Raw genomic sequence first — 23,098 nt, forward strand, 5'->3', positions numbered from 1 at the left:
GGAACTAAGACATTAAAAAGAGCATGGAGTGCTTGGGAAAGGAATAAATGCTTAGCTGGACTGAGGGGCCCAGTGCAGGGAAGAAAGGAGTGAGTGGCAAAAAATTCAGTCTAGCCAGGCATGGTGGCTCATGCCTGCAATCCTAGCACTTTGGGAGGCCGAGGCGGGCGGATCACGAGGTCAGGAGATCAAGACCATCCTCGCTAACACGGTGAAACCTCGTCTCTACTAAAAATAGAAAAAAATTAGCTAGGCGTGGTGGCGGGCACCTGTAGTCCCAGCTACTCAGGAGGCTGAGGCCGGAGAAGGGCATGAACCCGGGGGGCGGAGCTTGCAGTGAGCTGAGATCGCACCACTGCACTCCAGCCTGGGAGACAGAAGGAGACTCCGTCTCAAAAAAAAAAAAAAAAAAAAAAAATTCAACCTGGGCCTCTGTTGGGCTGCTGGTCCAGATGCTGAAGTACAGCGATGGCAAAGGAGGAGAGACTCTAAAGAGCTGAAATGAGAAAAGAAGGGTTTGGGGAATTACAATCCAACAAGAAAAGAGAAAACATATACGGGAAATGCACAGATACAGACACCAGTGGGAAGAGGAGCAAAATTCTCAAAAGAACCATTACAAGGTCTAATAGATACGTGCAGCCTGACTTCCCCTAACTGCTTTTCTGGGCCTTGGAGCGGTGGCTGAGCCTCATGGTTACTGGGCCGCCGGGACTCAGCACAGATGTCAGGGTAATGACACCACAAAGCCTTCCATAGAGGGACAAACCCAGCCCATGTCTTGCCTCTAGTAGGCATCTATGGGTAGACAAAGCAGTGGGTTTTTCAGTTGTTTTTTTAAACTGTACTTTTCAAAGCAAAGACAGGGACTCAGTGCATGGGGTGGGCCAGTTGGGCTCTGCAGTCAGAGGCTTTGATAGGAGCTCAGAGTCTACCCCCCTGGCAAAGTCTGTGGCCAGGACTTGAGGAGGCAATGTAGGAAAACACTTTACTAAAATGCCAAGCTACCTGCTGGCACAGATAAGCCTGAAATAAGTCTGTTTTTATGTCAGAAAAACATGAGCCCCTAGATCCTGAGCTGTGTATTCAATAAGAGGCACTCATTCCCACTGCGGTTCTGTTCACTAATTGTCCCTCCAGACTGGCTCCCAGGCAATCCAGATGAAGAGGGGAACTTGGCTCCAAAGCCTAGCTCACCTCTGTCATTATGGTAATGAAATATACAAACCCAAATCATCAAACAAACACACAGACAGAGGGGTGTATTTCTTGTTTATTCATTTTGCAACCCTGCTTGTTTTGGGAAAGTGAGCGCTGCTGACTTCAGCTCAGGAGCACATGACTCTGCTGAATCCCACAGGGAACACACCAATCAGCTCTTTCAAGCCCTACCCATGCCAGCAGTGGTTGAGTGCAAGCAAGGAGGTGAGGTGGGTTAGCACCAGAACCCTGCAGCCTTGTTTTTATCCTTACTTCTCCATTGAGACGTAAGAATGAGGTAGTCACAGGTATATGCCTCCTACCAGCAGCCTTGTGCCCAGTCTTTATTAGAGGGGTCAGAACAAATGTCCCATTCGTTTGTTCAATAAATATTTAAATCTTTGTAAATATTAAGTATTTAATTTAAATGTAAATCTTTTTAAGTTTGAAATATTTAAATTTTTGTAAATATTTATTGAACAATGGCTGTGTGCCAGGGACTGTACCAGGTGCCCTGCACAGAGTGACAAAGAAGATGGCCAAGGTCCATCTAGGGGCTTCCATTCCACTGTGGGGTATAAACAATGAATGAATAAACAAAATAAGTAAGCTGGACATGGTGGCTCATGCCTGTAATCCCAGCACTTTGGGAGGCCAAGGCAAGCAGATCACTTGAGGCTAGGAATTTGAGGATGCAGTGAGTTAGTTGTACCACTGTGTTTCAGCCTAGGCAACAGAGTGAGACCCCCATCTCTAAAAAATTTTAAAAAATAATAATTACAGATTGATTTGTAATACCTAACACCTCTATTTACTGCTTACTAGCCCAGTTCTAAGGCCTCACATATATTTCAGGGTGATCCATATGAAATTGTTGATAAATGACCATACTGACTTACCAAAATGGCAATTTCATAGGTTCAACCTAATGTTTAGCTAGTAAATCTCCACAACAATCCTAGAGATAGGTCCTATAATGACAACTTAATCCATGGAAAGTGGACAAATAAATATTAATAAGTTGCCAAAATTCACAGAGCATGTTTGTGACCGAATCTGGACTTAAATCCAGACAATTTGACCTCAGGATTCATGGTCTCATCTGTTAAGTTCTATACATGAGATGAGTCAGAAACTAGCAAATCCATTTAAGAAGAGATAGCGAGGAAGGGCCTCTCAGAGGAAGATATTAGAGCTGAGACCTGAAGGATGAGAATGATTCAGCTGTGAATTAACCTTGAAGAAATGTCGCTATCATTTGTGACACACTGTCAAACCTATAAGGACAACTGAATTTCTTTTCTTTTCTTTTTATCGAGATGGAGTCTTGGTCTGTCACCCAGGCTGGAGTGCAGTGGCAGGCACGATCTTGGCTCATTGCAACCTCTGCCTCCTGGGTTCAAGCAATTCTCCCGCCTCTGCCTCCTGGGTTCAAGCAATTCTCCCGCCTCAGCCTCCCAAGTAGCTGAGATTATAGGTACATGCCACCATTCCTGGCTAATTTTTGTATTTTTAGTGGAGATGGGGTTTCACCATGCTGGCCAGGCTGTTCTTGAACTCCTGACCTGATCTGCCAGCCTTGGCCTCCTAAAGTGCTGGGATTCCAGGCATGAGCCACCATGCCTGGCCACCGGAATTTCTTATTTGAGGAGTGTAGAGCACATCTCCCATGGTGTTGCTTCCTACTGACCGCCCTAGGGGTGGGCCTCTCCTTTAGGCCTCCATACTATTTCCTGGAAGGAATGTGGCCTGGGAGCTGACCTGATTTATGATCTATCGCTGCTGGTCTCTGTGGATGCAGCAGCTCTAAAGGTCCTTTCTCACCCACGACCTTCGTGTCCTAGGCCCAAGTCAGAAAAACCTAGTAGCAACATAGACTTTTCAGTCCTTCTTCAGTTGAACATACCTTCCATACAAAACAATTGCCTCCTCAAATGCTCATAGCCTTGTGAGCATAAGTTTGAACTTATGATCACCACCCTACGGACTGAGCCATTCTCAATGCCTGATTCTCTGTAACTAATGCAAGTGTCTCCACTGAGGTTTCTAAAGTGACTGTGACAGGGCATCTGGGGCAAAGAAGTCCTTAAGATCTTCATTTCTACTTTTCCACAGCTGGTCTACTGTCTCTGTTCCTGTTATTCCAGGCCTGTCCAGGCTCTGAGATCCTGATCTTAAGCCATCCTAGACTGTCATATTGTGGGCTTAGCACTGAGTCATTGTCTCTGTTATTCTGGCTGGGGATATGCTACCCAGTCCTGACACCTGGACTTCATTTTTCTCTTCCATCCACCACCTCCTTACCAATGGCACACCTGTTTTAGAAACAGGCTGTTACCTTCATCTTATCCCCAAATTACAACTTATATTAGAAAAACTACACTTTTATTAGAAACTTATATTAGAAAACTATAATTCTATTTTGATCTCTGTCCAAGTTTTTATTCTGCCTTTAAATCTTACCAAGTTTTTCCCAGTGATGGAAAACCTGCCCTTGGATGGCTGTCCTGTGGCTTGCAGCCTGGCTTTCTATTGAAGATCACTAGATGGGACCACCAGGCATCACTTGGTAGATCCCCATTTCCAACTTTAACTTCCTAACTGGGATCTGGAGCTGCTTATTCACATCCTGTTCTCTTACCACCCATGCTCACTACTAAATGGACTAGGATTGAAGAAGTAACTGAGTGCCTGAGTGTGGTCAGAAGTGGACCTCAAGTGAGGACGACTTGGGGTTGGTCATGGGCTAGGTAAGCCTACCTGTAAGTGTTAGGAGGGTGTCACAAACCTAGAGAGGCAAGTCTGATGATAACTCGGAGCACAGACTCTGGACTCACACAGATCTAGGTGTGAATCCTGGACAGCTCACTTAATCTCTCTATCCTTCAAATTATCTTTCTAGAAAGTAAGCATAATTCTAATATGAATTTAGTGCTTACAGAGTGGTTGTGAAATTTGAAAGATGATGTAGTTAGAGGCTTTTACCTCTGGACAAGATGGAGTAAGAAGGTCTGGATTTACCATCCTGTTTGCTGCAAAGAAAGGATAAACAGACAAAATATATAAAACAATAGTTTCAAGAGATTGGACATCAAGCAACAAAGGGCTGTGATCCCTGAGAGAGAGAAAACAAATGAGGGGAGCCCAGCTTACTCCACTGAGGGGTTTTTAGTCTGTGATGTAAGCAGAGGAAACTCAGGCAGAGCTTGGCAAATTTCATGACTTGAGGAGACAGAGGGGAGGGTTCAAGGAGTCCAATGTGGCTGGAGTTTGTGAGACCAGAGACCAAATACTACGAAGGAGAGCTACACAGAGAGAACCTCAGGATCTGCAAAGGGTCTGTCTCAAGTATTTGGCAGAGTACTGATCAACCATCTGAATGTTAGAAAAATAATTGAGGCCTGAGAAATAGTCATCTAGAAGGATTATAGAGAAGAGTTTTGTTGGCTATGACAGTGCTACAAATAGTGCCTGTTCCACCACCAAGACTGGAGAAACCAATAATAAGTGAGACACAGGGTGGCATACTCAGGAAGGTCTGGCCCCAGTAGTGGAGAACACTTGGCCCTAGTCTGAACACTTCTCTAGTCCCACCTAACACATCTAAAAGCAAGACTCAAAAGGATCACACTGTTTCCAAGTAACTTAACTATGTCCAAGAACAAAGCTTAAGAATATTTCTGGGACTACAAAAATATCCAGCGCCCAATAAGGTAAAATTCATAATGTCTAGAATGCAATAATTATACGAGAACACAAAGAAGCAGAAAAATATGAGGAAAATAATCGAAAATGATCAAGAAATGATGCAGATGTTGGAATTAGACAAAGACATTAAACAGTTATTATAACTGTATTTGCATGTTCAAAAAATTAAATAGAGCCATGGAAGATATACAAAACACCCAAACTGACTTCTAGAAAGAAAAAGCAATCAAATAATGTCTGATATAAAAAATGCACTGGATAGGACTAATGGCAGAGTAGACAGACATTGCACAGGAAAAGATTAGTAAATTGTAAGATATAGCAATAGAAACTCCCCAAAATGAAATACACAGAGGAAGAAAAAAGAATTAAAAAAAATGGGAACAGCCATGTGACAGCTTCAAGCAGTCTGGTATACATGTGATTGAAGTTTCTGAAAAAAGGGTGGAGAGGAGTCAGAAAAAAATATTTTTAGGTACAATGGACAAAATTTTTTTCTAAAGTTGATAAAAACTATAAAGCCGTAGTCTCCAGACAGAAAATCATCATGGATATAGTAGACTTGAATAACACTATCAACTAACTTGGCCTGATGACATTTATAGAACAGCCTCACCCAATAACAGCGAAATGTATACCTTTTTAAGTGCACATGGAACATTAAGTTTTTGTCAGGGATAGAAGCCTGCCTTTGAATGGCTGTCCTGTGGCTGGGAACCTGCTTTTTATTGCGCATTGCCAGATGGTTCCATGAGCAAGATAGACCATATCCTGGGCCATAAAACAAGTCTTAATAAATTTAAAAGAATTCCAATACTAGAAAATGTGTTCTCTGGCTACAATGAAATTAAATTAGAAATCAATAACATACAGATACCTAGAAAATAACCAAGCATTTACAAACTAAAATACACTTCTGAATAATCCATCAGGTCAAGGAAAAAAAATCAAAAGTATTTTGAATTGAAAAAAAGTATAATATATTAGACTTTATGGGATGCTGCTATGGCAGTATTTAGGGGAAAAATTATAGCACTAAACATATTTCTTAATAAAAAATAATCTCAAATCAATGATGTCACCTTTTATGTTAATAAACTGGGAAAGTAAGGGCCCCTAAACCTAAAGTAAAAAGAAAGAAAATAATAACTATTAAAGCAAAAATCTACAAAATAGAAAACAGTCTGGCTAGAGGTTTTTCAATTTTATTTATCTCCAAGAACGAACAACACTGATCAGGAATCGAAGAGAGAAGAAACAAGCTACCAATATCAGGAATGAGAAGTGGCATCACTACTGATCCACTGATATTAAAAAGACAAAGAGGAAATACTGTGAGCAACTTTATAAATTTCACATCTCAGAAGAAACTGACAAGTTTCTTGAAAGGCATAAACTACTGATGCTTACTCAAGAAGATATAAATAACCTGAATAGTCCTACAGCACATGAAGACCTCGAATTTGTAGTTAAAACATCTACAAAGAAAACTTTAGGCTCAGATACCGTCACTGGTGAGTGAATTCTCCCAAATATTCAAAAAAGAGTTGGCCGGGCACTGTGGCTCACTCCTGCAATCCCAGCACCCTGGGAGGCCAAGGGGGGCAGATCACGAGGTCAGGAATTTGAGACCAGCCTGGCCAATATCATGAAACCCCGTCTCTACTAAAAATACAAAAATTAGCTGGGCTTGATAGCACATGCCTGTAGTCCCAGCTACTAAGGAGGCTGAGGCTGAAGAATCGCTTGAACCTGGGAGGCAGAGGTTGCAGTGAGCCGAGATCGCACCACTGCACTCCAGTGTGGGCAACAGAGTGAGATTCCATCTTAAAAAAAAAAAAAAAAAAAAAAGCTAATATCAATTATATATAAACTGATCCAGAAAATTGAAGATGAAGAAATAATTTTCATCTCATCCTTTGAGGCTGGCGTTATCAAAATCAGATAGAAAAACCAGATGACATTAGAAATAAAACCACAGACCATCTTGTGAACATAGATGCAAAAAATTTCAAAAAAATTATCAAATCCAATCCAATCTTACATAAAAATCAAAATACATCTTGAACCAGAGGGATTTATCATAAAAAAGCACATGTTTAATATTTGAAATGAATCTATTGAATTTACCATATTAGTAAAATAAAAAAGAAAAACTATATGATCATCTCAACAGAGACAGAAAAAGCATGTGACAAAATGTAACATCCATTCCTGAAAAAACTCTTAGCAAACTAGGAATAGAAAGGACATTTTTCAACCTGATAAAGGGCATCTACAAAAGTATCTACAACTAACATCATACTTCATAGTGAAAGACTGAATTCTTTTCCTCTAATATCAAGAATAAGGGAAATATGCCTGCTTTCCCCTCTTCTATTCAACATTAGAAATTCTGATTAGTGCAACCAGACAAGAAAAAGAAGTAAAAAAAAAAAAAATTGGAAAGGAAGAAGTAAAATTGTCATTTGTAGAGTACATGACTGTCTATGTAGAATGGTCTTTTTCAACCTCTGCTGGACATTTTTTTCCTGATAATTCTTTGTTGTGGGGGACTGTCCTGTGTATTGTAAGATGTTTAGCAGAATCTCTGGCCTCTGCCCACTAGATGCCCATAGCACTGCCCCTCCTCCCTCCAAGAGGTGACAACCAAAAATGTATCCAAACATTGTTTTCTGTCTCCCCAGAGGGGTAAAAACCACTCCCAGTTGATAACTTCTGATAACAGAAAATCTGATGGAATCTACAAAAAAGCTATAATACTAGAACTAATAAGTGAGTTTACCAAGATATTATACAAGATCAATATACAGAAATCAATTGTATTTTTATATACTAGCAATGAACAAATGGATATGGAAATTAAATAGCAGTACCATTTACAATAGTTTCAAAAGTATGACAAATGTAACAAAAGATGTTAAAAACTATACACTGAAAACTATAAGATATTGTTGAGAAACATTAAACAAGACTGAAATAGATATACCCTATCATGGGCTGGGAGAGTTAATATTTGTAAGATGTCAACTGTCCCTAAATTAATTTATAAAATTAATGTAATCACAATCAAAATTTCAGCAGGCTTTCTTGCAGAAATTGACAAGCTAATTCTAAAATTCACTGGAAATGCAAAAAAAAAAAAAATCTAGAATAGCCAAAACAACTTAAAAAAAGGAACAAAGCTGAGAGAAAACATTACCTGATTTCAAGACTAATAAAAGGTACAGGAGTCAAGACACTGTGGTATTGATATAAAGACAGACAAAAGTATCAGTGGAAAATAGTAGAGTCCAGAGACCTGCAGATACACGGAAAACAGGTTTTTGACAAAGATGTAAAAGCAATTCAGTGGAGAAAGGATGGTCTTTTCAACAAATGGTACTAAACAATTGGATATTCTTATGCCAACAAAACAAAGCAAAAGAACTTTCAATTTGCATAATTTTGCAAAATTAACTCACATTGATTATAGTTCCAAATGTAAAATACTTTTAGAAGAAAATATAGGATAAAATATTTATGATCTTGGATTAGGTAAAAGTTTCTGAGATAATTTTATACAAAAAGCATAATCTAAGAAAAGTATTGTTAAATTAAACTTCATGAAAATTAAAAACTTCTGCTTTTCAAAAGCAGAATTCATTGAGAGAATGAAAGGACAAATCAGACTGGGAGAAAATATTTTCAGAGCACATATTTAATAAAAGACTTGCATCTAGAATATGCATAGAACTCTTAAAACTCACCAATAAGAAGACATCAACAAAATTAAAACTTTGAGCTTTAAAGGATATCAACAAGAAAATGAAAAGATAACCCACAAAATGAAATAGAATTTTCACAAATCACATATTTGATAACAGACTTTATATCTAGAATATATAAAAAAATTTAACAACTCAATAACAACTCAATAATAAGACAAGTAAACCAATTTTAAAATGGGCAAAGAATCTGAATAGGCATTTCTCCAAAGAAGGTATACAAATGGCCAATAAAACCGTGAAAAGGTGCCCAACATCATTAGCCATCAGAGAAATCCAAATCAAAACTACAATGTATTACCACATCATACTCGCTACGATGGCTCTAATAAAAAAGACAGACCATGACAAATATCTGAAGGAATGTGGAGACATCAGAGCCCTTATACAGTGCTGGTGGGAATATGAAATGGTACAACTCTGGAAAATAACACATCCATGTCTTGAAAGATTAAGTCTAGAAGTACCATATGACCTAGCAATTCTACTCCTAGGTATACACTCTAAATAAATGACAGCAAATATCTACACAAACACTTATACACAAATGTTCATAGCAGCATTATTCATAAAAGCCAAAAAATGGAAACAACACAAATGTCCATCAACGGATGAATGGATAAATAAAATGTGTGCATTCTAGTCATACAATGAAATATTATTTGTCAATAGAAATAAATGAAGCACTAATATATACTAGAACACGAATGAACCTTGAAATCATTATGCTACATGAAGGAAGACAGCGACAAAGGATTACTTATTGCGTGATTACATTTATATGACATGTCCAGAATAGGCAAATCTCTAGAGACAGAAAGCAGATTAGCGGTTGTGTAGTGCTTGTTAGGTGATGGATGGGAAATGGGGAGTGACTGCTAGTGTGTATAAGGAGACGAAATGTTCTAAAATTGATTATGGTGATGATTTAAAATCTGTTAATGTGCTAAAAAGTACTGACTTATATATTTTAATTGGGTAAATTTGTGATATCTAAATTATATCTCAATAAAGCTCTTATTAAATACACACACACACACACACACACACACACACACACGTAAAAGAATGGGCCCTCTAAAAGAAGGCAGGACTTTTTGTAGTGATGGAAATCTTCTGTATCTTGACTGTGGTGATAGTTACCAAAGTGAATACATTTGTCAAAACTCATTGAGATGTATGTAAATTAATTCTCAATAAAGTTGATTTTTAAAAGCCTCAATAATAAGGCAAAAATAAATTAAAAATGGGCGAAAGATTTGAAACTTACCACAGATGGCAAATAAGCACATGAAATGATATGCGACATCATTAGTCATTAGAAAAGTGCAAATTAAAACCACAATGATATACCACTACCTGTTAGAATAGCTAAAATTAAAATGACTAAGTGTGGTCAAAGATATATTGGATCTGGAATGCTCCTTCTCTGGTTTTGTTAATGTAACGTGGTATAACCACTCTGCAGAATGGTTGACAGTTTCTTAAACATTCAGCAGGCATCTAACACGTGATCTAGGCATTCCACTCTTAGGTATTTACCCAACAGAATTTAAAACACATGTTCATATAAAGACTTGTATACAAATGTTCATAGCAGTTTTATTTGTAATTGTGCAAAGCTGAAAATAATCCAAATGCCTATCAACAGGTGAATAAATAAATTGTGGTATATACTACTCAGCAATATAATGGAGTGACCTGCTGAGTACAAACTGTATGAATCCATTTATTTTAAGACATTAGAAAATGCAAATAAATCCACAGCAACAGAAAGCAGATCAATAGTTGTCTGGGGAGGAGTGTGAGGAGGTGCAGGAGGGAGAGTAAAAGGAAATTCTGGAGGCTGATAAATATGTTCACTATATTGATCATGGTGAAAATGTTATTGGTGTATAGATGTCAAACTTTATCAAATTGTGTATTTTAAATATGTGTGGTTTATTGTATGTCAATTATACCTCCATAAAGCTGTTAAAGATAATCCATTTAAAGTGCCTGGCTTGCAGTAAGAGGCCGTTTTCTCTAATTGCTCCCTGGCTTCACACACTGAAATTACAGGAAGGAGAAGTCTCCCACCCTGGCTTGGATAGGCCCCTGGGACACAGGATTGACTTGCCCTCAGTTCTGCCCAGTCCCTTCCCAAAAAACTTTTGTTAGGGAAAGGAAGTAATCAATGGCTTCTTTATCCTTTCCAAGAAGAGCTGACTTACTTAGTCTGTCATATTTCTTTACTCACACTAGGCCTTCTTGGGGTCTTGGCTTTAATAACTATTTCGGTATTATTTTGTTGTAAATTTCCATATAGCCAACCAATGCAGATCAAACCATCTCAATCAAATCAACTGTACCAATATTTTTTCAATGTAAGTTTATGTGAGAAACATGGTAAGTCTACAGGAAGATAAAGAAACAAAGATGAGTGAGAAAGCAGTGATGTCTACAAGGACACCACAGTGGAGCAGGATTTAGGGGCTAAAGTGGGAACACTAGTGACTGCATCCAGCGGGCAGAATGAGATTGGAATATGGGGAGCTGCAGAAGCACCAACACGGGGGTTTACCAACACCAGAGCACTGTCTGCGTCTTCCTCTGTGAGCTTTGTGGGCTCATCCTAACATCCCAGATGCCCTCTTTTTCTTCCACTGCCTGGGAGACCACATATCATCCAGTGGAAGGCGGGAACGTCTCTCCCTGCTGATTGCCTGCTCTCTCTGCCTGCACCCAGAGGAATGGAAAGATTCTGAGCTATCAGATAATTGGGGGAGTCTGGCATTTTCTGTCTTTGCCTGTGCTGCTATCTGCCACCTCCCAGAGATCTGCTAGCTGAGCTTGTAGATCTGATTTTTGGAGGGCTTCTAAAGACAACTTTCAGCTGTGTATTTGTATGCAGCTCTCTGTATGGGCTATTCGACAGGCATTCAGATTTAGGGGGAGAAGCATATGCATGTCAGAAGAAAGCAGATGCTGTATAATCAAAAGTAATTTAGAAGGAAAGGAGATAGTGATAAAAGGACAGACCCCATACCCAGTGTCAGGAGGTTTTGTGCCACTGCTGTACTCTTTCTGAGGCTCCTCGGGGCTCTTTGTGTTCCAAGCAGCTGCATCAAAAGCGATGGGAACCCTTCTGATGGCTTGGTGTACAGCTATAAAAGAAGCAGCCATAAGAGATGGGAGTTATGGGCTCCCAGATGCCTCAGAACCCAGCCAGTGCCATTAGAGGGTTCAGATTGTTAGAGGGTGAGGCAGACTAGGCCTTCAAAGAGAGGTTACAAACCCATAGCCAATAAGTGAATGCAGTGGGGTGAAATGTGAAGATCACGGTCTTCGAAGTCTCCAAACTCTAAACATCACTCAGGCTGAGATTCTACTCCATCCTTTTCTGATCTTGGGTGATCTTGGAAATGTTATTTACTCACTCACAGCCTCATTTTATCAGCTGTAAAATGGAGTGATGATAATAATAATAATGCCTGTCTTTTCAGGGTTGTTTTAAGGACTAAGTGGAATGCTATTTAAGTGCTAAACAGGGGAGTACACTAACATACACAAAGATAAATTTTTAGACGATTTTATGTATTTTAAAATATTTTTTATTTTAAATAGGAGGTCTTGCTATGTTGCCCAGGATGTTCTCAAACTCCTAGGCTTAAGCGATCCTGCCACTTCAGCATTTCAAAGTGCTGGATTTACCAGCATGAACCACTATGCCCAGCCTTGGAGGTTTTAAATATAAGAGGCATTGTATTTGGGTGAGAAAAGGAATCTTTAGCTGCCAAAGATGTTTCCTTGGACTACAGAAGCCTGAGGGTCAAGTCTGGGTGCTAAATGATTGAAACGAAGACCATGCCCACACTGAACGGGACATCCTTTCAGATTTAAACCGCAGGCCCACTGTCAGCCCTGGGCTGCCATGGCCTACAGCCAGGACATCAGTGAATGCTGCCTCTCTTTCCTTCTTGTTTTAGCGAACATGAAATGTTTGCTGGCTCAGAAAGAAGGACTTGACCTCAAGCAAAATAAAAAAGCACAACTTCCAGGTATCAAAATGACTTGAGTTCACAAACTATCCTCAAAAATGGATATCTCACACAAAGAAAGAAAAGTGGAGATCTCTGGGTACAATGGTTTCTTTAGTCAGGGGTAGGGGAAATAAAAAATTGAATATCACTGGAATACCATGTTGCTCTTGTAGGAAAGTAGAACAGTTTCCTTCAGTGCCAAAGAAAATGTCTCTTTACAGGACCCTGACGGTCCTATCAGTAGGTCATGTATCTTTGTACATAAGGAAACAACAGTTATTTAATCATTCTCTTACCATTTGAAGAATAATGGGAAGATTCAGTCCCCTAAAATCTCTACCTGAGTACAAAAGGGAAATTCCCTATGGTGTCTTGTAACTGGTGTCTTCTCCAACTTCCTCTAGTGCTTCTAACTCCACATTTTCAGATAAGTTCCCCCTTGTTTCATAGTTACCGACTGGCTCTGTTCTTGGAGGCCATAGAATCTGCAGTGTGAACCTCCCAGCCTCAGCCACTATCCCTTGTCCTCTTGTTTACTTAATTAATATGATGTGTTCATTTCCGCTGCTGCTGGTAGTGCTCTTATTAGGTCCTATCTGGACTCTTGCCCACTTTGGACATACTTTTTTTCCCCTTTCATGGAAAATCCAAAAACACAGAACCATGGAAACAGTAAAAAATAAATAAATAAAAAGGAGGGGAGGCTTGGTAGGCCCCTCTATGCAATACTACTCATATTTATCTTCACTTTCAGTTTCTGTTAATTGATGAATGAACGTTAAATTATTTAGAGTAGTCCTGGCACATACTAAGCATTATATATACATGCCCACTATCATCATCATCATTTTTATAATATAAAAAATAGAACCATGACACATGCTTCACAATTTACAAAAGTGATTTCACAGAATCCGTGTTTCATGCTCTAGTACATTTCCAAAGGTTACCAATGTTTTCCTTACGGAATATAGAGATCTTACACTGGGACACTGTGAGGCAGAGACAGGTCCTGTAGCATAGACGAGACAGCCTGGGCTGGGAGGGGAGCGTAGATTTTCCCATCCTTTCTGGATGCATTGCTGATGAAAGCATCCTCAGGAATCACCCCAAACACAGTGGCTGGCACATTGTAAGTAAGTATCTAATGTACATTAACAGATTATCTCCTTGAGGTCCCCTCTGCACGAAAAAGCTATGCTTTTAGCAGTTGTACTTGAAAGCAGCCCCAGGCCTCATCAAGCAGCCCTGCATAGGGGCCCAATAAAGTCCCTTCTCACAGTCACGCTGGGGTGTCTTATCTTTAGCTCCCACTCCTGGAGGAAGGGAGTGTACTTGCCCTCAAAACAGCAAAGGGACTATGCTTTTCTTCTCCAATTTCTTATCCTGTGCCCAATCTGAGTTGATTATTGTTTTGCTCCTTCATCTGCCTTTCTCTCTGCTGGATAAGCAGTTTGTGCTAATACTATTTTCCTTTCCAAATCTTTTGTTCTACAGATAATGATCATGATAATAACAATCTTTCTCTTTTGTACAATGCTTCATAGTTTTCAAAGCACTTTCTCTGCCATTTTCCTATTTTTCCCTCAAAACAACCAGGATGGGTAGGCAGGGATGTGCCACTGTCATTCTCATTTTACAGGTGAGATTATGACACTCAGAGAGGCACACACATTTTTAAGGTCACACAGCCAGTAAGGGACAGAACCAAAAGTAGAATTCAAGGCCTTGCCTTCAGGGCCTCAGAGTTTTCACTGGTGCATATGATTTCCTGTGGGTGAGTGGCAGGTGTGGAAGCTCAGAGACGGGGATGAGTGAGCTTTAGGATCATGAACAACAGTAACAGCTGTGGTGGTGGTGGTGGTGGTGGTGGTGACGTGAGAAACAGCTAAGGAGATGTAGGAAAAAGCCAGCATTGTGAGGCTTAAAAATGGATAGAGTTAAGGATTCCGAAATGAGAATTTAAATAACCAAGAAATGTAGCCAACATCCAGTAAGAACTCCATTAGTTGAATTAACAAAGGGATGAATAGTATCAAAGAAAAATATATTCTTTAGCTCCTCTCTGAGGACATGCATGTGTGTTTACAATCAATTTACTCACCTTAGGTAGAGGGAATTGGAACCTCCTAAGACAATGGTTCTCAATTTTGATCCCCAGGGCGCATTGGGAAATGCCTGGGGAAATACCATTGGTTGTCACAACTGGGGAGGGGTTCTATGGCATCAGGGAATAAAGGCCAGAGATGCTTCTGTGCATCCTACAAGGCACAGGACAGCCGCCACAACAATTATCCAGCCTAAAACGTCAGTAATGCCAGCGTTGAGAAATTCACCCTCAAGGAATAGACATTCCACACTTGCCCTATTTTCAGCATGGAGACACCCTTGGCATTACCCTTTTTTATGGGTCTATAAATATGACTATTGGATTATGGAGTTCTTAAGAGAAAAAGAAGGACTTCAAGAATTAAATCTGATTCCAGAATCAAATAATGGCTCAGCTCAATATTTGTTCCCTCTTTAAAAAATTGACCATACTCTCCTGTGTGGAGAATAAGGAAGTGCCAAAATAAGTGCCAAATGATGCTTTACAGGGCTGTGTTCCCAAGTGTTGGCAAAGTTAGGTCTGAAACATTGATAACTAATCTATACAGATCTTGAGACTAGGGTTCTCTGTTGAGAGTTCAGCAGGAAAGGACTGATTGGGAAAAAAAAAATTGTGAAAGGACGAGAAGTCCATGGAATGTCAGAGCTGGAAGAAGACTTAGAGATTATGTAATACTGTCCTTTTACACGTGTTAAACTGAGGCCTCACAAAGTTTGCACTGATAATGGCATGATGAGACCCAAACCCAAGATTCTGTGTTGTTGAGGTAAAACAATGCCCCAAAATATACTTTAGTGTCATTCCACTTTGCACTGGGCCAGCTCTGGTCGGGGTATTTCCTTGGGTTTACTGTGGCATTGTTAATTCCAACACGGAGTAATCTGAGGAATGTTCTCTTGGAAGATATGGATTCTTTGGTACAATATTGACCAAATGATACTTACACTCCTACTGAACATTTACACAATGTCTGATCGTTTCTGAAATTTTTTTGCATGTGCTCTTTCTCACCTTCCAGCCCCTGTACTTGCTGTTTTATGGATGTGTGTGGGGTGCTCTTCTTTTCTTCTTTCCATTTTCCTAATCATTCTTTCTTTAGCAGCTCGTCCCCCACTTCTGTAAGTCTTCCCCCGACTCTGCACACACACACACACACACACACACAGACACACACACACGCCATATAGAATAAATCTGTCCATGCTGCATACAATTTCTATGCCTTGCACATACTTCTGCTGTACAATAACCTGTATCATGTTGGATTTTGTGGAAACCAATAAATAACTCCCCCTTTCTTCCCCTATTGAATTCAGAATCAATTGAGAAATAAGACACAGTTGTCAAACAGATGGAAATAAAAATACCAAGTTTATTGGTAAAATTTATTACAGAACATGGCTTAGTTCTGCAGCCAAGTGTGGCTCCCTAATAATTTCCTCCAGAGTGAAACTCACCCATCTAGCCACAGGCAGAATTAGAAACGTGCTGTGGGGAGTGAGTGAGACGATGGAAAGAAAGAGGCCCTACAGTTTTGCCTTCCTGGAGATTGCTAACATTTTCCTTTCTTTAGGACTAAATATTTCAGAGTTGACATCAAAATACACAGTCTGTCTCCTCTCTTAGATTGTGGGCGACTTGGGGGCAGGGATAGCATATGGTCTATCTTTGTTTTCTCAACTCCAAGTTTAGTGTCTGGTACATAGCAGGTCTGTTAAATGGATGACGTTAAACATACTTCATACCTCTTTCTTCTGCCTCATTTCATTCCTTTCAAACAAAAATTTGATGCTTCCCCAGCCAAGCCCCACCCCACCCACCCCATACATGTACCAACTAATCTCCCAAAGCCCCTGTGAGGTAGTTTTGCTTCCCGTTTTGCAAAAGAGAAAAATGAAACTTGGAGCTGCTTAGTAACCTGCTCAGTTGTCAAAGTCAGCCAGCAAGCAGTGGGTAAAGCCATGTTCAATATGCCACCTCCATAGCCTTCACATAGGGTGCTGTGGGGCTTCTTGCTCATTAGATTACAACTCTCCTCTTTCTGCAACTTCGCCCAAATTCTTAGCTAGTCCTGACCAAGGCAGGACTTTGGATAGACTTAATTCTTAATCTAGTGAGTTTGTAGGCTTAAGACTTAACTATGTTCAGTCACCCAACTACCATTAGAATTGCTCCTGCCAAAACATCATGAGATATCTCTACTCAGGGAAACCACTGGACCCTGTGTAGTCCCCAAGCCACAGCTCATCCTCCTCTCTGCCGAGGTCTCCCTTTCAAGGTTTTCACCCAACCAATGCTCACCTTCAAGTCAGGAGGCCTGCCCTGAGTTCAGCCCTGCTGGACAACTGTGTCCCAAGGACATATTTCAGAGTAATGAGTGCCTGTTTGGTGTCAGTATTATTCTCTACAAATGTGTTCTGACTAGCTGGTCAGGCTCTCAATACCCTCTCCTGGAAGACCCATGGGCTTGTCAAGACCTTAGACACTGTAGCCATCCAAGCTGTCACCCAGAGTTGGCCCCTGGTATAGTGTCCCCGACTTTTATCTATCTGTCCTGGTGGGCAGGGCCCAGGTGAGATTCCAGCCCATTCTTTTCTCTCTCTTCTGTCATCTCCTTGGAGCCAGGGGCAGAGCATCATGCCTTAAAGCTAAGGCTCATTATTTGTGAAGTAGGTGGGACAGGTAGATTTCATTAATTGTCTCCATTTTCAAAAATGAAAGCACAGAGATCTAAGGAAGCTAAGAAGCCTGTCCAAGGTCATGCAGGTCTGATGCAGGATGAAAATCAGGGCTTAGAAAATGTAGATCATTGTGTCTCTGCATGCCCAATCTGTCTCTTCACTATATAGCCAGACTGTCCCTCCTGGCATCTACAAGCCCATGCCTCCCTATTCAATCAGAAGGACATACAATGAGGGGAAAGAAAGAATTTTTAAAAAGACAAAATTTTTTCACAATTCAGCACAGCTCTAATCTGACATGACAAGGCCAAGTCCATCTTTTCACACTGACAATTACTTAAAGGGCATCGATGCCATGGCACCATTAAAGTAATAGCAAAGATGGATTGTACGACATTGTGGATCAATGTGCTAAGTGTTGTTCAACTTGTTCAATGAAATAAAGCATTGAATCATTAACCTTACCAATGTCAATGTATAGTCACTATCAAATTCCACTAAATGAACATCCACGACCCTCATTAAAAAGTGCACTTTGAAGCAACTAATATATTAATACCTTATTGGCCAATAAGAAAAGGAGAAGCTCTCCAGGGCAGGGTAAAGAATCTGGACAGAAGCTAAGAACATTTGATGGAGAGCGGAAGAGTGACAAATGCAAATGTGGAGTTGTGGACTGGATCTGTGATTGAGAAGGAGGTAGAGGGATGAAGAAAGGATTGCAGAGAGCTTTGTGAGCACTTGCTTCCTTGATAGGCAGGCCTGGTTACAGTAGGCAGAAATTGATGGTGGACTGAAGAAGAAAACTGTAACTTTCCATTTTGTCTTCTTTCAGGATATCTTTCTGGTTTAGAAAGGGTTAAATCACTGGGTTTGACCTTAATCCAATTCAGAACCTCAACAAAATGAGAACATATGTACAAAGAAAGCAGTGGGTAAGTGCAGGGTGCATTAGATGGCCTGCCTAAGAAACAGCTGCTGCCTCCTTTTGCCACCTTCCCCACTGTCCTGGGGTGGTGAGAACCCATGAAGTGGAGAGCCTCTGGCCCTTTGGTGTGGAGACAAAGGCAATGAATGGAATTCCAGGGACTTGAGTTCTGCTTCCAGTTCTGCTCCATTGCAAGAAGTCAGGCAGGCAATTCCATTCTCTGAGTCTCAGTTTCATTGCTTGTAAAACAAGGGTCTTGGAGGGAAAAGTGGTTTTTAAGCAGGTTTTCTTTTTCTGGGTCTTCAAGCGTCTGTGGAGGTGATAGGAGCCACTGAAGAAAAAGAAGGGCAAGGAGAAGCAGGAATCTGATCTCTTTCCCTACTCTTTCCAGAGCAGCTCTACTTGCATATATTGTGTATTAGGCTTCTGCATAACAGCTCATTGGAAAAATAAACCCCACAGCTACACAAGACAAAACAAACAAGCAAACAAATAAATTTGGAACAAAAACTCTGAAACTTGTAATCCCCCAAATTCAATAATATTTAACATCAAAATGTACTAGCTGAAAAGTGATAAATGCAGTCCATCATTTAGTCTTTGTATCTACCGACTGTCAATCAGACTGATTTTTCCCTTCTAACAAGGCTTCTGATTATCTTGGCACCATGTAGAAAGAACTTCATTGTGTCTCCACCATCAGAACATGCATTAATGCCTCATGGTCTGATGATAAGCTCCCCAGAGTAGGGTGAGAACATTTGAAAGGGAGCCAAGCATAGTGGGTGAGGAAGGGAAGGGTTCTCCAGAGGAGGGGTAATGGTGGCTAAAGAGGCAGAGGTGCCAATGCAGAGTGGTGAGGGAGATTGGGCAGCTGGTACGGTGGCAATACACAATTTACAGCCAAATAGGATTTTGATTGTCCAGTAATTTCTGAGAACTATTTGCCCAGCTACTCCAAGTTCTGTATTACTTATTGGCTGAATCGGGGGATTTGTTTTTTGTCTCCATAATGTGTACTAAGTGCCTCAATTATCATTAACTTCTGCTGGGGGTGGCTGATTTTTACTCTTATTCATTCTCCAAACTACCTGCAAATATTCCTCAAAACCCAAAGAAACTCTTTTAAAAGTTTACATTTTTCTTTCCTGAGCCCGGCTCTGCAGAGGGTCCCCTGAAAGGGCCCATGCTCTCAGTAGCACTCTGGAGCTCTCTCTTTGGTTACCTGTCTCCATTTGGGGATTTCCAAGTCAAATCTCACAAGAAATGCTTGCACAGAAATCACACAAGTGAACATCATAAAGCTAAAAATGAAACTGTAGTTATTTATATGTGTTATTTTAGAAAGCAAGTTGAGTATCTTTGAGTCAGGAATGATTATTTTAAAGAATGCTCTTTTACCTGACTGTGTGCTCTTTGAAGGCAGGAATCATTATCTTTATTTAATTAATTTATTTATATGATAAATATTATTGTTATTGCTATTATGTATTTCTGCCAGTGTTTCCTAGACTTATCTGAGGGTATGAATTGCTTGGGGTGCTTGGACAAAATACATATTCTTAAGCCTGTTTTCTAGAGTTTAAATTAGTAGATGTAGAATGGTTGCCTAATAATCTGTAATTTTACAAAATGTGTACTTCCATGATTCCTATGATCATACTGATCTATGTAACTGATTGACCAGTTCCAGTTCCATGATAGTCCTCAGCAAACGTTTGCAAAGAGTAAGGACATCCAAGGTGCAGGATTAATGACCCAAGTGTAGCCTAATGAGGGAGAGAGGTACCCATGGAAAACACCCAAGAAGTCATCTGCATTTTCTGAGAGCCCAGTACTGGGTTAGGGGCTGAGCATATTTCATAGACTCGTATCACCCCACCCCCATCTGCTTCCCCAAACTAGACACATAAAGCCTGGGTCTGCTGTAAGCAGATGGTCAATGGATTCAACAGACAGAAATTGAGAACCCCCAAAATACTGCTCCTCTGAGAAACAAGCCGTAGATCCCAAGTAGGTAACCAGACTGCTATCCATTTTAGGATGTTTCCAGCTTCTGCTTCCCTGCTTCATCCTGCTTCCTTTCTGCCTCTCTATACAAGTGGAGTCACTTTCTTGTCCTCCTTTCACCTATAGCAGTCTTCACCCTCATAAGAATCTCTGCTTCATGAAAGAGTAAGATGGTCTGAAGTTGTGCTGTGCTTGCCTCTTAGGAACACGTTTTAGTAGCGACTTACCTCCCTTCACTCTCCTGTTTGTGTGCCTGTCTCAGCTTGTTGATAAATTACCTGGCTCAGGCTCTGCTGCACACATGCCCCCTTGCCCTTGTGATGGCTTCCTGGATCCATGAGATTTTGCGTAGTTTAATGAGATCTGTCTGAGCACTGTGCAGTGGGCTAGGGGTTGGGGATACAACCATGAACAATATACATCCTTCTTGGCTTAGCATCTGGGGAGGAATAAAAGACCAAAGAGCCAGCACAGGATAAATGACGAAAAGTACTAGTTTAGGATTCAGCACAGAATGCTATGGGAGCTCACAGAATGGGCCTTAACTTAACTCTGGGTGCATCAGAGAAGGCCTCCTGGAGGAGGTGCTATTTGACCTGCTTCTTAAGGGGTCCGCCAGTCAAAGAAGGGAGCTGGATTGCTGTCTAGGAGAAGGAAACAACATCTAAAGAAGCAAATATTTAAGAAGCTGTACTCCCTAAACTGCTGTCTGGCATCTTTGGTCTTGGGCTTTATTGCATTTAGGGAAAAGAGTTCTGGGGTTCAGGAGTCAGAAAACTGTATTTTAATTATTTTTCTCTTTTTAATTCATTGTATGGTCCTGGAAAAGTCATTTCTTTTCTCAGTGCCCCAGGGTTATCTTCTGTAGGGAGCTTGGAGAAAATAATCTTTAAAGCATTTTCCAGTTATTCTACTCTGAATCTTCCTGAAATACATGCGTTGTCACTTAGCATGGTGAATTTTTCCACTCTCTGAGTTATGTGTGTGTGTGTGTGTGTGTGTGTGTGTATGTATGGGTGCACATGTGCCTTCATGAATGTATGTGTTGGTAAGGCCTATCTATGTATGGGTGCCTTTGTTGTGGAATTAAGACTATATGTCTGGGGGAAGACACATCTGTTTTTTAAACAAGACAATACAGTGCATCACACACACACACACACACACACACACACACACAATCCTCTGCAGAGTCCACAGCCCATGAGGAGTAGGGGGAGTGAAGAGTGGGTGAAGGAGAGCAGAGCATGGGGCTGTCACAGCCCATGGCTTAAAAATGGCTTGAGTTGCAATTAAAAAAGACAGAGGCCAAAGGTTACTCCCTGGCATTTCACTCAGGTTAGATAATTTTAGAGGGTGATGTGTCTCATCTTGTAGAGATATTCTGAGAGACTTGCAACAGCTTATGTCTAGCTAGCCTGAAATGAAAATCAAAGAGGCCGACACATACAAAGACACTAGAGAGAAGTAGTGCTTTGGCAGACATTGAATGGAGGCAAACTCCACTTGATTGGCATTGCTCTTGCATCCTTACTTCTTGATTAATAGTAGAGATTAGATAATTTTTAAATTATTAATTTTTCCAGAAAGCATATATTATATTAGGTAGTCTTAGGCAGTTTAGTCACTGGGAAGGTTAAATGCTCTCTTTACTTGATAATTACCTAATCACCATTACTCTTTTACATTAATTCTGCCCCAGAATTCATTATGATTGGGCTGGGTTATTAAAGCTTGCATGGAAAGAAATAAAGCATCCTGTTGTTTGCATTGATTTAGTAGCAAATGAAATACCCTACTAATACCAAGCTTATCCAGAACAATCTGGAATAGTTTCTCCTGCCAGTTCGTTAAATTTGCTCCTGGATTCACCTTTGTGTGTCCACTAGCAAGAAGTGCAAATGGAAATGCAGATGAGTCCCTACCTAGGGAGGTCTGAGGCCAAGAGGGAAATAACCTGCAAGAGAGGAAGTTGAAAGCAATTAAAGAAGGGCTTGCCTCTCTCCAGAATGTCAGAGGCTCTTCTGGAGAAGCTGCTGTTTTCCCTCAAACCCTCTTCATGGTCCACTGCTAACAGGTCTCCCAAGTGAACACATCTGTTATCTTTGTCCTTTTGGCAAAACTGTTTGCTGAATCAATGTCAGTGCAGCCAAGTGAGGGCAGAAACCCCTCAGATGGCCTTGGTCAAGACAAGAATTCGTGGGAGCTGCAAACGGGGACAAATAAAAATCGCAGTCACAAAGGTAAGCTTGGCTTTTGCAAAAGCTCCCCTTGGCTGAAATGACGATGAATGCTAACCCCTTATGTGGGCAATGGAGTAGGAAAATAGGGAATCTCACAGGCAGCTTTGGGTTATATAAATTGGAATAAGCCTTCTGGAGGGCAATTTGGCAAAATGTGTTAATGACCTTAAGAAGGTGCTCATCGTTTGACTTAATATTTTTATGTTTGGAAATGCACAAATATATGTGCCTAAAATATTAAAATATTAGTAACAAACTTGCCCACTGAATTATAGAGAGTTGATTACATTAATTGTGGTTTATCTACATGATATGATACTTCCACTCTTCAAAAATCAAATTATGTTTTATTTATTGATATTGAAAAATGTTTCTCATCTATCTGCAAATTTTCTTTTAAAAACAGCGGCTTCAAAAAAGTTACTTTCA

At 40.4% G+C, this 23,098-nt stretch overlaps 4 annotated features.

The window, feature by feature from the left end:
- Positions 13,902 to 14,094: a silencer, noted in NCBI's record as "fragment chr1:208586461-208586653 (GRCh37/hg19 assembly coordinates)". NCBI's record gives its function as "represses an EF-1alpha promoter that drives an FKBP-Casp9 reporter gene in an ReSE screen in K562 erythroleukemia cells {active_cell/tissue: K562}" and the evidence as "EXISTENCE:reporter gene assay evidence [ECO:0000049][PMID:32094911]".
- Positions 17,297 to 17,466: an enhancer, noted in NCBI's record as "experimental_1772 CRE fragment used in MPRA reporter constructs". NCBI's record gives its function as "activates a minimal promoter by MPRAs in K562 erythroleukemia cells, with activity observed for the introgressed 1:208589941 or rs1991539 variant allele {active_cell/tissue: K562}" and the evidence as "EXISTENCE:reporter gene assay evidence [ECO:0000049][PMID:34662402]".
- Position 17,382: a transcriptional cis regulatory region, noted in NCBI's record as "Neanderthal adaptively introgressed variant 1:208589941 (GRCh37/hg19 assembly coordinates) or rs1991539 in the experimental_1772 CRE". NCBI's record gives its function as "modulates activity of the experimental_1772 enhancer by MPRAs in K562 erythroleukemia cells {active_cell/tissue: K562}" and the evidence as "EXISTENCE:reporter gene assay evidence [ECO:0000049][PMID:34662402]".
- Positions 20,202 to 20,371: an enhancer, noted in NCBI's record as "experimental_1780 CRE fragment used in MPRA reporter constructs". NCBI's record gives its function as "activates a minimal promoter by MPRAs in K562 erythroleukemia cells, with activity observed for both the introgressed and non-introgressed 1:208592846 variant alleles {active_cell/tissue: K562}" and the evidence as "EXISTENCE:reporter gene assay evidence [ECO:0000049][PMID:34662402]".

This window comes from Homo sapiens, chromosome 1, assembly GCF_000001405.40.
Source record: "Homo sapiens chromosome 1, GRCh38.p14 Primary Assembly".
Lineage (NCBI taxonomy): Eukaryota > Metazoa > Chordata > Mammalia > Primates > Hominidae > Homo > Homo sapiens.